The 15,790-nt window shown below is 49.3% G+C and overlaps 1 protein-coding gene and 1 non-coding gene across 7 annotated transcripts in view; both read left to right on the plus strand.

Annotated features, from left to right (window-relative positions):
* Positions 1-15,790, plus strand: part of PRKCA (protein kinase C alpha) — a 508,131-nt gene that overhangs the window by 481,304 nt on the left and 11,037 nt on the right. For 5 of the 6 annotated variants that reach the window (XM_047436388.1, NM_002737.3, XM_017024837.2 and 2 more), the window contains 2 exons: positions 2,951-3,058; positions 4,923-5,063. In XM_047436388.1, coding sequence (XP_047292344.1) covers positions 2,951-3,058; positions 4,923-5,063 — 249 coding nt within the window. Of the gene's footprint in view, positions 1-2,950; positions 3,059-4,922; positions 5,064-12,531; positions 14,405-15,790 lie in introns of those variants that run through there. The other variant, XM_017024836.3, reaches the window with a different exon arrangement.
* Positions 3,156-3,252, plus strand: MIR634 (microRNA 634). Its single transcript, NR_030364.1, has one exon. It is a non-coding gene; the product is annotated as a microRNA 634 (primary transcript).

Raw genomic sequence — 15,790 nt, forward strand, 5'->3', positions numbered from 1 at the left:
GGCATGCAGCCTACACGGTCGCACAGGGCCCAAGCCCACAAGAGCTCTGTGCATTTGGTTTGGTGCTCCGCTGTCGCATCTGGAAATTCTTAATAATTTTTCAATGAGGGACTCCCGTTTTCATTTTGCACTGAGACTTGGAAAGTATGTGTCTGGCCCTGACCACAGGCCCTCTTGGGCCATGTGGTGAGGTGCCAGTCAGTGACCTGGAAGCAGAGCCTCTGCCCCGCTCCCTGCCAGGGCACATTTACATTGCAGAGAGGGTCACACAGCCAGTTCAGGAGCCTTGAGCCCCTGCAGGGTGCAGGCCACGCCCTCAGCAGAAACCACACCATGTTTTTGTTTTGGAAACAGAGTCTTGCTCTGTCTCCCAGGCTAGAGTGCAGCAGCGCAATCTCAGCTCAGTGCAACTTCCGCCTCCTGGGTTCAAGTGATTCTCGTGCCTCAGCCTCCCGAGGAGCTGGGACTACAGGCGTGCGCCACCACAGTCGGCTAATTTTTTGTGTTTTTAGTAGAGATGAAGTTTCGCTGTGTTGGCCAGGCTGGTCTTGAACTCCTGACCTCAGGTGATCCACCCACGTTGGCCTCCCAAAGTGCTGGGATTACAGGCGTGAGCCACCACGCCCAGCTACTACATTTGTTTTAGTTATGAAAATCTCCTTCGCCAAAACTCAGCCAGGTTTATGGATCACTGATTAGGGAAAATGAGAAATGTTATGGGTATCATAAAATAGATGTCCAGAAGAAGCAGGCTGCGTGCTGTTAGGCAGGGAAGATACGGTGGGGTGGACACAAGGATGACCTGCACTGTAGCTCCGTCACAGCTCTCCCCCACCACTGCCTGCCTGCCCTGCCCTCTACAGATGAAAGCCACACGTCCCCCTGATGGCACAGGTAGCTGTCCCTGCTGACACAGGTGGCCGTCGGCAGCCTGCACCCCCTGGTGGGTGCCCCCCCAAGCTGCCCTGGGGGCCTCTCAGGCTCCATGTTGCTCCTGCTGGTGGAAGTTGCTGTGGCCAGCTGCCCCTGCCCTGTTCTGAGTCCCTCACAGGCAGGCTCATTTTAGCTCTCTTCACCCACCTGCAGCTTCCACCAAATTGAACCTTCCTTACACCAAGCACTTACAACAGAAAAAGAGGCCTATTTATTTGTATTTCCAGACCAAAAAATGTTGAGTGGTACCAGACACCCAGGCCTCTCTCTGTCCTCCCACTGGGGCTCTCTGTAGACTTGGCATCTTTCCCTCAGGGCACGTGGCTCCTGTCCAGGACTGGGCAGGGGACTGAGGTCAGGTCTCGGGTGTTGGATGAACAGGTTGAGGTGATTTGTGGGTGGTGGTTGAGGGGAGGGACCTACTTGGCTCAACGGCTGCCTCTGACTTGGGAGAAAATGTTTGATAAGAAGGGCATCCTTCTGACTACTGCGAAGTTACCTGTGATCGAGGATTCAGTTCAAAATTAAGCCAAACACCATCACTGTGTGACCTGCCCGTGTCAGCCAAAGTGACTGACTCCTCTTTCCCACGAGAAAGGAACATCTCAAGATTAAACAAGAGGATTCTGTACAAGCGCTGGTCCTTGCTCTGCCTTTCTGACGCTAAGCTCAAGGTTACGCAGCCAAAGGGGGAGCATTACGGAATTTCCCATGAACGCTTTCCTCCTGTGCCATCCCGCCAGAGTGACCGGGAAGTGATGGATCCCTCAGGACTACAGACATGCTGGAGGAAAAAGTTCAAAGGGCATTGTGAGCTCAGCCTTTCCTCCTAGAAGGTGCTCAAGGCCCCTCCCAAGAGAGTTGCTCTGTCTTAAATAATAATACTGCTAAGTTGCCTTCATTCGGCGCTTATTGGGTACAACATAAAATACAAGGCACTTTACTCCCAGAAACCCCATCTTACAAGTTGGAGAACTGTGTTTTTGTTTTTGTTTTTGAGACGGAGTCTCGCTCTGTCACCCAGGCTGGAGTGCAGTGGTGCAATCTCAGCTCACTGCAAGCCCCGCCTCCCAGGTTCAGGCCATTCTCCTGCCTCAGCCTCCCCAGTAGCTGGGACTACAGGCGCTCGCCACCATGCCCGGCTAATTTTTTGTATTTTTAGTAGAGACGGGGTTTCACCATGTTAGCCAGGATGGTCTCGATCACCTGCCCTTGTGATCCGCCCGCCTCGGCCTCCCAAAGTGCTGGGATTACAGGCGTGAGCCACCGCGCCCGGCCTGGAGAACTGTGTTTTAAAGAACGAAGTCATTTGCCTGTGGACACCCAGCTGGGAAGTTAGTAGAGCTAGAATTCTGGTCCAGATCCACCTGACTCTAAAGCCACAAGGTCCCACGGGGCCACCGTGCCTTCCTCTCTCAGCCTGGTAACTGTAAACCCAGTCAAAGCGGATGAGGGAGGAGTCCAATGGAAGCTAAGGTCCCATCACTGCTGCTGTGCAGCTGGAAGGCCCTCCCTCAGAGCAGCTGCTTGTTGGGTCAGAGGCCCAGTGTGAATTACTGGGAACATCCTCTTAGGCCACGTTCTCAAGTCCCCTTCACCCCAAATGAAAGTGTTGGCATTTTCTACCGGCCACCCCCACCTTCTGACCACAAAGCCATCTGTAACCTAACTTGATCGTAATTAGATTTTTAGCACATAATTACAAGATTAATGGATTAATCATAATTTATTTGCAAATCATTAAAAACATTACTCAAAAACACTTTCCCTAAAGATTGTTTGGGTTGCCCAGGGCAAGATAATTAACGAGACAGAGGGGAAAAAATGAAAAACACACAACCGTCAATCTCATTAAAGATGATCAAATAAACCGTCAAGTTAGCTGAGCAAACTGTGCAGCCTGTGGTGGGGCTGAGAAACCTGGTCTGTTCCTTGGTGCTGAATTGGCTCTTCAGGCACCATGTGAATGAATTACTCTGCCTAAATACTTTCCCATCTTTCTTTTTTTCCGGAACAGCCTCCATTTGATGGTGAAGATGAAGACGAGCTATTTCAGTCTATCATGGAGCACAACGTTTCCTATCCAAAATCCTTGTCCAAGGAGGCTGTTTCTGTCTGCAAAGGAGTAAGTCGATTTGGATACCTTTTGTGATCATGGACCAAGAGCTTTGGTAGGAGAAATACTTTCCCCACACTTCTAAGAGAGATGGCAGAAACACCACAAACCCACACCACTGCATTTTGGCCATCGAGGGTTGGGGCTTGGTGTCATGCCCCAAGATAACCAGCACCCCAACTTTGGACAGCATGGATTAGTCTTGGCCTGTTTTGAACTCTGCACAAACCGAACCTTGTAGTGTTGCTCCTGGCCTGGCTGCTTTCACTCAATATGGTGATTGAGGATTTAGTTCCTCCTTTCATATTGCTATGCAGTGTTCCACTGTGTGAACACACCATCGTTTCCTTATCCATTCTACTGGGCAGGGCACAGTGGCGAAAGTGAAGGCCAAGAGAATGGATTGGAATCCCAATACTTCCTGGGACTCTGGCCCAGTCACCTAATGACTGTACCGCACTTTTCATTCTAATCCATTTCATAAAATTGTGGTGGGGACTACCAGATGTCATCAGAGTCCCTTAGAAAGTATGTGCTCTCGTCTCCTGTCTTACTTGGTGTGACTTAGTTCTTTCTTTGCTACACTTTTCTTGAGCTATAGCATACATACAGCAATTGGCACAAATCATCAATATGCTGATAAATGAATCTTCACAAAATGAATCCACCCATGTAATTGCACCCAGCTCAAGAAACCATGTTTCCACCACCCTGGAAGCCCTCTCCTGTCCCATCTACAGTCACTACCCCGCCCCAAGATAACCTGCCCCCCAACTTTGGACAGCATGGATTAGTCTTGCCTGTTTTGAACTCTGCACAAACTGAACCTTACAGTGTTGCTCCTGGCCTGGCTGCTTTCACTCAATATTGTGATTGAGGATTTTGTCTGCATTGCTGTGTGGGGCCATAGTTCCTCCTGTCATATTGCTGTGCAGTGTTCCACTGTGTGAACACACCATCGTTTCCTTATCCATTCTACTTCTGGTGGCTATTTGGATTGTTCCTGCTTTGGTTTGAGGCTGTTACAAACAGAACTGCTGTGAACCTTCTGGGGCATGTGTTTTGGTGAAGATATGCACACACTTTGGTTGAGGAAATGCTCTAGGAATAGAGTTGCTGGTCATGACTTGTCTAGTTTTGAATGGTCAAGAGTTAGATCACAAAGCTATTTTCAGGCTTAGTAAGATGGAGTACAATATACCCTTAACAGTATCTGGTGAGTGTGATCATTTGTGAGGCATTTGTCACGTGTCATCCAAGAGCAAGGCACTTGGAAGAGATACTGAGATCGGGAGGAACTGGCTTCTGCCTTCAGAGAGTTCATAGACAGTGTTTGTCTCTGTGTCCTGCAGTGGGCAAGTCGGAATTAACTAGTCGCCTTCCTTGTTATAGCATTTATTTTTCTAATCTATGAGTCTTTGATTGATAACATTTTGGCCCAGACAATACGTAGACATATGATGCTTATTATGGCATCCTCTGTGATGCTAGACTGTGATGCTTTCAGCACACACAATTTTTAGTGATTGCATGCTTTTTTTTTTATTACTAGATACATGTATAGCATGGTGTCTCCAAAACAGACAACGTGTGAGATGTCTGTTTAAATTCTTCTTCCATTTGGCCATGGGTTCAGATTGCTTCCTTGTTCCCTTGTCTTGAAAACCACCATAGGAAGGGCTATTCTTGCCAATGTCATTTTTGTGAGTTGGCTTCACTTCGTACAAGCCACTGAGTGTCTTGGTCAGCTCTCTGAGATGCTGTCCAGGCGTCCACAAAGTCAGGGCTGTAGGCAGAGCTAGGCAAATGGAAGGTGCTGTCTGTGGGAAGCCCTTGACATCCATTGTTCTCCTTTTCTCCTTTTCCTTTCTAGCTGATGACCAAACACCCAGCCAAGCGGCTGGGCTGTGGGCCTGAGGGGGAGAGGGACGTGAGAGAGCATGCCTTCTTCCGGAGGATCGACTGGGAAAAACTGGAGAACAGGGAGATCCAGCCACCATTCAAGCCCAAAGTGGTGAGTCCAGAAAAGCAGCCTGTTTTCGGAACCCCATGTCCCCAAATTCTGGGAGTATCCCACTCACCTCTTTTCTTGGAGAGAGGAGGCCGGTGCCCCTGGCTTGTACAGGGTGAGGAAACGGGCCAGGTTTCAGCCTTGTCCTCAGTCCTGTGGCCTCAGCAGCCGGGATTCCTGCTGCCTTCAGAGAGTAAGGACCGATAAGGCAGGGAGGGGAACCCTGTGCACACTTCATCCTCCAGCTGGACAGCTGCAGAGCACCCCCGCACGACTAGGGAGTGAGGGCAGCTGTGCTTTAGGTCTGGACTTTGTGGACTCGCACCCAGCAGGGCCGTATTCACAGCCTTCAGTCCTCAGCAGGACTCAGGCTTCGTGTCTGTCTCTGGTTTTCCTGGGTTTGCCTGGCACCGAAGGGAGCTCTGAAGCACAACCCCGTCCTAGCCAGCAACTAGGCAGGGCCTGGGCCCCGCCCCCTCTTCCACCACTGCCTCCACTGCGGGGAGTGAGTGTCAGCCACCAATTCTAATGTTGTCAGCTTTTTTCACACTCTCCCTGTTTGATTCCCATTTTTTTCATTTATTTAAACACTGTATGCCAGGCCCTGTTCTGAGTGCCTTACGAATATTAATTCACTCAATCATCCCAGCAGCCCTGTGAGATGGGTACTATGGTCCCCAGTTTGCAGTGGAGGAAACAGTCACAGAGAGGCTGAGTAACTTGCCAGAAGACACACAGCTGATAGATGGTGAAACCAGGACGAGTCTTTGTCCTCACCTACTGCACCATCGCTCCATCTCAGCAACTGCCCTGACGCTGATGCTGTGGGCCCTAATTGTTGATTGCGGCCAGCAAGTGCCTTTCATGTTTATATCTCTAGAGGTAAACTGAGAGCCTTTAAGAAGTCAGCCTGCTCACTCACCACCTGCCACTTTGCAGAGCCTCCAAGGGCGTCCTGTTTCTAAGGGCCGGGCGGACTGTGCCTTCCAGCTCTGCCACCATCTTGGCCAGCATCAGGCAGCTCCCCATTGTGCCTCTGCCCGGGGACTGCAGAGAGCTGCTTTATGCCACAGTCAGTTTCAGAAGCATCGCCCTGTTGGTTTCGCTCAAATGTGTCTCCTCTGACAGGTGCCCCATGAGCAGGCCAGGGGACCCACCTGGGGTGGCACAGTTGCCAACTGGGTGGCACACAGCCTTATTCTTAGAGCAGCAACTTCCTCACCATGTGTGCCTCTGTGTCCTCTACCCCAAGAATAAAACTGCTGTTGGTGAGCCCACTGGATTTTATTTTTCGAAGATATTTTTAGCACACACTGAAGAAAAACTAAAATTAATCAGGTCAGTTGACTTCCTCCTGAATCATCGTTTCAAATAAGGCCCTTTTGTATCTGACACCCCCGCCTTTTCTTTAGTCAGCCCTGCACACTGATTTCAGGGGGGTCTCACGGGCTCCTGCCCCTCAACATACAAAACCCGGTCTGGAGGTTTTTGGGGGTGGGGAGAGTGATTAATGGTGCTGCAAGTGGTCTCAGTAGAAAATTCTGTTAGGGATTATTTTTTTTTCCTCTTCTGCCTTTAATATTTATTTGTTGTCTTAAAATATGAAGGTTATGCAACAGCATCTTGAACACAGCTTAGTTTCTTTATAGGAACAACGTAGAGATGCGTACTGACCCCGCCTTGAGGGTTGGGCAAAATCCAATTACCTGTCAGTCACTTTCCAGAAAGCGATGAGTTGCAGCAAAACCAACCATAAAACATGTCTTTTTCTATTTATTGCCACGTTATGGCAGAAGAGAGTGTTTATTTGCATAGTCTCCCACATTTTGTGGATACTCGGCCCTAAGCTCGGATATAGGGAAGACAACAGGGCGACTTGGCTCCGCAGGCAAGAATGTGAACTGTTCTCTGTGGTCCACGGAAATCACAGGAAGCAAAATTGTACCCATGGCAGGCAGCTGAGTTAGGAGCAGTGTTTATTTATATTTTATTCCTGGAGCGCTACTGTTTGCTGGTTTTTTTTTTTTTTAAATTATTATACTTTAAGTTGTAGGGTACATGTGCACAATGTGCAGGTTTGTTACATATGTATACATGTGCCATGTCGGTGTGCTGCACCCATTAACTCGTCATTTAGCATTAGGTATATCTCCTAATGCTGTCCCTCCCCCCTCCCTTTTGTTTGTTTTTTAACTGAATGCTCGTTAAAATTAAGAAGGAAGGATAAATTGCCCCTGGCTGTGAAGAAATAGCCCCTGAACTCACAAACGGAGGCAGAAATTGTCGACCCAGGCCCTAAAACTGGAGGTTTCATGCAAAAGGCCCCGCTTGGTAAAAGCTCTGGCCAGAAGGAAGGAAGAGATTTCTCAGGCAGAAGCCCGTGTTCTGCTGGAAAACCTGTGCACAAAAGAGGAAGGAGCTAGAAAGAATACAGACAGACAGGAAATGGACCCACAGAGGGAACAACGACAGTGAAGATAGAAGCACGTGGCTGCAGGGAGACCCGTAGACGCTGTGTTCAAAAGCGGAGAGCGTCAAGGGCAGAGAGATAAATGGGGCAAGCTCTGGTTCCTGGAAGGGCAGCGATGTGCCTCTTGAGAGCTGTTTCCTGTAGTCCTTGCCCCGTGCCAGGCAGCCGAGTGAGGCTCATCGCAGCATGTCATGCAAGGGCTGGCACCACCGCCTTCAGCGGTCTCTGAGGACTGCACTCTGTTCAGTGGTGACACGCTGGGGCAGAGACACCACGCCAAGAGCCATTCCAGTGGCTGGAGAGGACATTTAGAACAGCAAAAAGCAACCAAAGTCGAAGCTGCACAATACGCTCTGGTTAATACAAACAGCAGGAGAGAACTAGCGGCGTAGAAAAGTTATTCTGGGATGTGGTGTTCCAGCTTCCTTGGTGAAAAATGTACTGTAGTTTCCTGATCCAGAGCTAACTGAAAAGTGAAATGTGTTTACAGAGCTGAGCATTCTCTAACGGGTCATTTTGTTATTTCAAAGAGAGATGTAGCAATGCCAGCCTAAATAGTGCTGCTGGAGAAACGATCAGGCAAATGTCACACAGCTAGCGACTCTCACCGTGAGCCCATTTCTGAGTGGCTCTCGCCTCTCAGCAGTTCTTATAATCCTGGCTCACCAACCTTTTCTGTCTTGGTGAAGTCTGCCTGATGGTTTTTTAGCAAGCGCTGGTGAGTCAGTTTCCCTGAGACTTGCAGGCTTAAGGACAGGTAGCTGTTCTCACGTGCGGTGATGCTCCTGGCTCCCATGGAATTAAACCTTTGCTTACTACCAAATACCAGTAGCGGGACTTCAGGTTCTCACAGTTATTTGCAAACTGCTTCTACAGATCAGATTGAGCTTGTAGGATCAGGAGTCTATCATCTTTGTTTTATTAATTTTTAAATTTTTTGAACCTCCAATGAAAGAGTCTTCCAGAATCACTGACTTCCCTAAGGAGGGTAGAAGCATTCCACTGCTGGACAGCCACAGAGCTTATCAGGGAATCATGGTTCCTCTAGTGTGCTGTCTTAATCCCTCTTCCTGACTGCCAGAGTGACTTGACTGAAGTTAACCTTTAGACCGCAGTGCCATGCAAAATGCGATCCCAGCGCAAAAAGCATCTCACAATGCCGTGATCCATCAGGAGGTTAGCACGGGACTTTCCATCTCACGGCGACATTAAGATCAAGATCTGCAGTACAGCTGTGGGCTGGATTCTGTATAAGGTCACACGTAAAGGAGAACAGAAAGAGGAGAGTGACCAGCATCGAGTGTGTGGGACAGTGGCCATCTCCCTTAGCAGTGGCCACCTTCCCTGGCAGTGGCCATCTCCCCTGGTGGTGGCAGGGTCCCATGGCGGTGGTCATCTCTCCTGGCAGTGGCAAGCCTGGAGGCTGAGATGTGAGGGAAGAACCTGCCCCTGTGGCAGTCAACAGTGGGAGAGTCCTGTCCTGGACAGAGCCATGTCTGTCCCTAAAAAGCTACCATGTGCCACCGTGAAGATGATGATTTTCTGGAAGATGGGACAATCACTTCTCAGGGATCATTTTGTAAAAACAAAAGCAAAGACAACCACAGACAGCAGTGCTGTGAGCCCTGGACACAGGCAGCCAACAACTAGCTCTTCCTCTTTATGAGCAAAACACAAAACGAGCTGGTTTCGGGGATCTCTTCAAGGAAGCACAATGTGAAGCATCCTCTGCTCCCCGGACATGAGGACGGTCAGCTCATTGAGGACCGTCAGCTCAGTGAGGACCGTCAGCTCAGTGAGGGCCATCAGTTCAGCCTGATGTTCTCAACAACAAACCCGAGTCATCAAAAAGAGGCCTGTAGGCCAGGCGTGGTGGCTCACGCCTGTAATCCCAGCACTTTGGGAGGTCGAGGCAGGTGGATCTCCTGAGGTCAGGAGTCCGAGACCAACCTGGCCAACATGGTGAAACCCCATCTCTACTAAAAATACAAAAATTAGCTGGGCATGGTAGCACACACCTGTAATCCCAGCTACTTGGGAGGCTGAGACAGGAGAATCGCTTGAACCTGGGAGGCGGAAGTTGCAGTGAGCCCAGATTGCGTCATTGCACTACAGCCTGGGCGACAAGAATGAAACTCCGTCTCAAAAAAAAAAAAAAAAAAAAAAAAAACCGGAATGTTCAGAAGAGTCTAGGTAAGGAGAAATTTTAAGTTTAAAACAGATGTCGCCTCTGGAAAGGGTAATCTTCAGTGACTGAAGGAGCAGTGGATGTCCACCCTACCTCCCAGCGTCAGGTGAGCGTGGAGGCACTGTGGGGAGGAGGGTACAGCCAGCAGCTTGGCCCAGCAACCAGAAGGCTCACCGAGGGAAGGAAAGCACTTTCGGCTTTGCCAGAAAAATAAAAGCTCCAGGATTCTGATCCACCGTCACTTTGAATTTTGTAGCTTTTTATTCTGATTTAGAATTAATGTGAATGAAATGGCCAAGAACAGCCTTCAAATTTCCACTCATCCTGCTTGTAATCAGTAGCAGTTTATACAAATACCAGGAGCATAAGGTTAATTGATTTTTCTTTTTTTAGTTCTAGCCGTTGGCACCAAGGAGCAGAATAGCTAGTTCATAGGCAAGCCAGAATCATTCACTGTACTTAAATGGTTATTAGAGAGGGAGAAATTAATCTATAATGTTAACACAAGAAATGTATTCCAGAGTGGTTAGGCAGAGCACATTGGAAATAGACCTTTCACAGATGGCCATTTTTTTTGTGAAATTACTTTAAGTATTCTGTTTTTTAAAAGGCAGAAAAATAGAACTTTCTTCAGGACATTGTCTCCAATGACCCACAGCAAGAGCCAAAGAGAATAAGAACATTGAGGACATCCCTGTAGTGAGAACACACAATCGGGGTTCCTTTTCCCAGTCACCACAAAGTCCTTCATTTCCCAGTGCCATTAGCTTGTTTAGAGAGCTTGATGATCATTTAATTATCGAAGCTGGTGCAAGGATCCTTTTTTTTTTTTAATTTTATTTTGAAATAATTTCCAATTTCAGACTTGTGGAAGGGCCAGGAAAGTAATTTAAAGAACTCCTGTATTCCTTTACCCAGGTTCCCTAAATGTGAACATTTTAGCATGTTCGTGTTATATTGTTTTTTTTGTTTTTTGGGGGGGGTTTTTTGTTTTTTTTTTTTTTGAGACGGAGTTTCGCTCTATCACCCAGGCTGGAGTGCAGTGGCGCGATATCAGCTCACTGCAACCTCCACCTCCCAGGTTCAAGCAATTCTCCTGCCTCAGCCTCCTGAGTAGCTGGGATTGCAGGCACCTGCCACCATGCCTGGCTAATTTTTTTTATATTTTTAGTAGAGATGGGGTTTTGCCATGTTGGCCAGGCTGGTCTCAAACTCCTGACCTCAAGTGATCTGACTGCCTCGGCCTCCCAAAGTGCTGAGATTACAGGCTGACCTCGGTATCATTCTTTTTCTATATCTCTGTCTGTGTGTAGGTACAGACATACACATCTGTTAGGTTGGAGCAAAAGTAATTGCGGTTTTTGCCGTTACTTTTCATTTTTTTTGCCATTACTTTTGCACCAACCTTAATATATACTTATTTTTTTCTGAACCATTTGAGAGTAAGTTGCAGAGTTAATGCTTCTTTACACCTAGATAATTCCATGTGTATTTCCTGAACATAAGGACATCTCCTGGTACTATGTTCTTTTAATAATTACTCCAGCAAGCTAGGTATGTAGTGCAGGGGCTCTGCAGGTAAAAGGAGGAGGGAGGGTCCCTGGCATGGCTGTGTCACAGATCAGATACCATAGGCAGCTTGGGCCACATCTCATCAGTTCTCTAGGGTGGCAGGCAGCTTCATTCTCTTGGCCTTTCTGTTGGGCCAGTAACAATGATGCCAATTAAAATTGAGATCTCAAGATGGGAAGGTTTGTCAACAACATACAAACACTAACCAGCCATTGGAGACTACAGAAGTCACATCATGCTGTATCTAGGTTTGATTTAAGCCTCTAAACTAGTCTAAGACAGCACCTTTTACTTGGCTAATTAGAGGCAAGCAGTTTTTCCTATTCTTTAATCATTACTCTCTCAAATACTTTTCTGCTTAGCAGAGAAATTGGAAGAAATGAGACATTTAAACTAATAATATAAATAAGCATCACTACTGCAAGCCTCTGGGAGCTTCAATGATGAGTGACGGCATAAATACAGACCCTGTGTACATCAAAGTGTATGAATTGACAGGTTTCCATTGTTGGCAGTGAAGGTTTCCAACAACGATGGCCATTACAACTTTTCTTGGAAAAAGAGCTTTAAATCCTCTAAATCTGGCCATTAACATAAAGACCAAATGGAGTACATGTTTTTATTCCATAGATTACAGCCCATGATAAGCCAGAACCTTCACCCTCATACACACGTGGCTCTCACACCTACAGGAATCCCCTCATTTAATGTGTGGCTTATGGCCTCTGTCTATCAGCAAACTCATCAACGGAATCAGCCTTCCTCCAGAAGAGAGTTTTCCCTTTCTGAGATAATGCTGCAGTGCTGTAGGTGAGCTGAGTACTGTTTAATTTTGTCAGAGAAACCAAAGACTATATGAAGTTGGCAGGAGGTGAAAGGGGTCCCAATCCCTTAGAAAAAATTACTATTAACATGCTCTCTCTATATGGTGAAATGAACAGTTAAGTGGTAGAGAAGGGCATAAATGAAAAGATATCTCCCCAACTACTGGTCCTACTCTTCATGATCTTTTCTGTAACCTTCTAGAATGTTTCTGTATGTATAAACGTATACACAGATGAGGTTGTGCTGTGTTAAACACACCTTGCGTCTTTCACGTAGCAATGTATCCGACAGGTGTTTCCGCATCAGCTCACGTGGGTTTATAGCATTCTTTGCGTGTCCATTCCCGATTCTGGACTTGCAAGGCCAGGAACTGACTATTCTCCAAATCCTCTCCTTTGTCCGTTCTTATTCTCCAGACTTTGTGTACCAAAATGCACTGGCTTCAGTGGGCCTCCAGGTCTTCGGTGAGCACGTTTCCAGAACCTTGGGTGACTAAATGAGCAAACTAACCCCACTTTATAACCCTTAACCGTGTGCCCCTGCTTGTGTTGGTCATGCACGTAGCCCGTTCCCTGAGCATGCTAATCTTCAGAGAAAGGGCAGACCAATGGCCAGACCCCTTTGCTGGATAGCTCCTTAGTATGGACATTACCTCCCAGGAAGCCCAAGTGAAATGCACCAGCCCATTTCTGCTGTTATTTAACTTAAAAGAAGACGCTGTGCAACCACAAGTCAGAGAGCTGTGCAGATGGTGGCGATGCGGTTGCTAAGGCGCTCCACTGTACCCCAGCACTGGGACCTGAATACAAGTGAGGGTTCCCCTACGATGAAGTACCTCCTGCATTTGGTCATCGTAAGGGGTAGCTCCCACCTCGTTAGGTTTCCTTTCTCCATAGTCTTGCAACATCCCTTTACTCTTTATTTGTTCTGCATCTTTCCTCTTCTTCTGGGTTTTGTTTGGTTTTGCTTTTTAACAGCAGTGTTTTGAGCTACTCATATTTCCCATAATTCCCATAGCTGAGACCATGGGGTTGTATTCTACATGACTGAGACGCCGAGGTAAAGGGCAGGGGTGAGACCAACACGTGTATTGCTCATGCTCAGAGGCCTCTCCCAGGTAAGAATCAGCCACGAAGCCAACTCCTGCATTGCATCTCAGTCTCCCCCACACCCTATCACAGAATGAAAGGGGCTGTGAGCAATGTGTTTGCCACACAAGGCTCCAGTGGGGGCACACTGCAATCCCAGATTCCACCCAGAGTCCGTGTCATTCATGTTTTGTAACATCTTTACCAATGCCTGATTTCTCTTGGGTCCGTTGCATTCATTGAAGTTTGACCAAATGGGTAGGAATATCAAAAACGACAAAGGAGTTCATTCCTGAATCCAGAGATCAGAAAGAGGGAGGTAGCTTATTAATAACGTTCCTTCGTCCCTCAGAGATCGATCACATGCCTTTTACATGCTAGTGCTTGCTTCGCAGGGTGTACCCTATGTCTGTCCTGCCTCCTCGCTGAGGAAGGGCCTCATGCCCACTAGTTCCCTGGATCCTCACAACAGCCTGGGAAGGTGGATGGTCACATCACCATCTTACCTTCGCAGAGAGATGCACTGAGTTTGCCAAAGCTATATACATTGGGGCTCTTGATCTCTGGCCACATCCTTCTCCCCTCTGTGTCCCCACTTTCCCTTGGGTGCCGACATCGCCTGGTCTCAGGGAGTTCAGCAGTCACACGCTGACTGGTTGGGTCTGACCACCCCAGTGCCCTCTTCCCCTTTATCTCTGTCCCATACCCATCGTGTGGTACGTCACATCCCAGAGGGCAAAAGCCTCAGTCGGCAAAAGGCGCGGGTGACCTTTGGAGGTGGAGACAGTGCGCACCCAGCCCAGTTTTGCTCACAAGGTATAAATGTTACTTTTAGTGGCCATGTGCTGTTGGGTGGCCTACAGCTCTGAGGCCATGGACAGCCACACCTGCCCGCTGTCACAGACTGCTGTAGAGGCTGCCCTTCCAATGGAGGTGGTGATCCACCTGCCTGCCTCATCCCTGAGGAGTGGCGGGAGGCTGCCTGCAGTCATCTTTTACTCATTCACTTGGCGTTCATGCAGTCATGCTAGGTGCCCCCTCAGCCCTTTAGCCTCTTTGCTTCTTCTTGCTCCCTGCTCAGCTCCAAGATGGCACCCGAGGCCATTGCCCATCAAGCTCATGGTGATGAGTAAGGTTAGATCATTGATAGTAGGAAGAATCTCTTCCACATTAGGAATGCAGTACCTTCTTGAATCTACTGCTTTTCCTTTCTCCAAGGATCCAAAAATCTCTGGTTTTCCTTATCTTTTTCAGTAGGCGGTGGTGGTGGTGGTGGTGGTGGTGGTGATGGTGATGGTGGTGGTGGTGGTGGTGACGGTGGTGGTGGTGGTGACGGTGGTGGTGGTGGTGGTGGTGGTGGTGGTGGTGACGGTGGTGGTGGTGGTGGTGACGGTGGTGACGGTGGTGGTGATGGTGGTGACGGTGGTGGTGGTGATGGTGGTGGTGGTGGTGGTGGTGATGGTGGTGGTGGTGGTGGTGGTGGTGGTGGTGGTGGTGGTGGTGGTGATGGTGGTGGTGGTGGTGGTGGTGGTGGTGGTGGTGGTGGTGGTGGTGATGGTGGTGGTGGTGGTGATGGTGATGGTGGTGGTGATGGTGGTGGTGGTGGTGGTGGTGATGGTGGTGGTGGTGGTGGTGGTGGTGGTGGTGGTGGTGGTGATGGTGGTGGTGGTGGTGATGGTGGTGGTGGTGGTGGTGGTGATGGTGGTGGTGGTGATGGTGGTGGTGGTGGTGGTGGTGGTGGTGGTGGTGGTGGTGGTGATGGTGGTGGTGGTGGTGGTGGTGGTGGTGGTGGTGGTGGTGATGGTGGTGGTGGTGGTGGTGGTGGTGGTGGTGGTGGTGGTGGTGGTGATGGTGGTGGTGGTGGTGGTGGTGGTGGTGGTGGTGGTGGTGGTGGTGGTGGTGGTGGTGGTGGTGGTGGTGGTGGTGATGGTGATGGTGGTGGTGGTGGTGGTGGTGGTGGTGGTGGTGGTGGTGGTGGTGGTGGTGATGGTGACGGTGGTGGTGGTGGTGGTGGTGGTGGTGGTGACGGTGGTGGTGGTGGTGGTGGTGGTGGTGGTGATGGTGGTGGTGGTGGTGGTGATGGTGGTGGTGGTGATGGTGGTGGTGGTGGTGGTGGTGGTGGTGATGGTGGTGGTGGTGGTGGTGGTGGTGGTGGTGGTGGTGATGGTGGTGGTGGTGGTGGTGATGGTGGTGGTGGTGATGGTGGTGGTGGTGATGGTGGTGGTGGTGGTGGTGGTGGTGGTGATGGTGGTGGTGGTGGTGGTGATGGTGGTGGTGGTGGTGATGGTGGTGGTGGTGGTGGTGATGGTGGTGGTGGTGATGGTGGTGGTGGTGATGGTGGTGGTGGTGATGGTGGTGGTGGTGATGGTGGTGGTGGTGGTGGTGGTGGTGATGGTAATGGTGGTGGTGATGGTGGTGGTAGTGACGGTGGTGGTGGTGGTGGTGGTGATGGTGGTGGTGGTGATGGTGGTGGTGGTGATGGTGGTGGTGGTGGTGGTGGTGGTGATGGTAATGGTGGTGGTGATGGTGGTGGTAGTGACGGTGGTGGTGGTGGTGGTGGTAATGGTGGTGGTGGTGGTGATGAGGG

The sequence above is a fragment of the Homo sapiens genome, chromosome 17 (genome assembly GCF_000001405.40).
Source record: "Homo sapiens chromosome 17, GRCh38.p14 Primary Assembly".
Taxonomy (NCBI): Eukaryota; Metazoa; Chordata; class Mammalia; order Primates; family Hominidae; genus Homo; species Homo sapiens.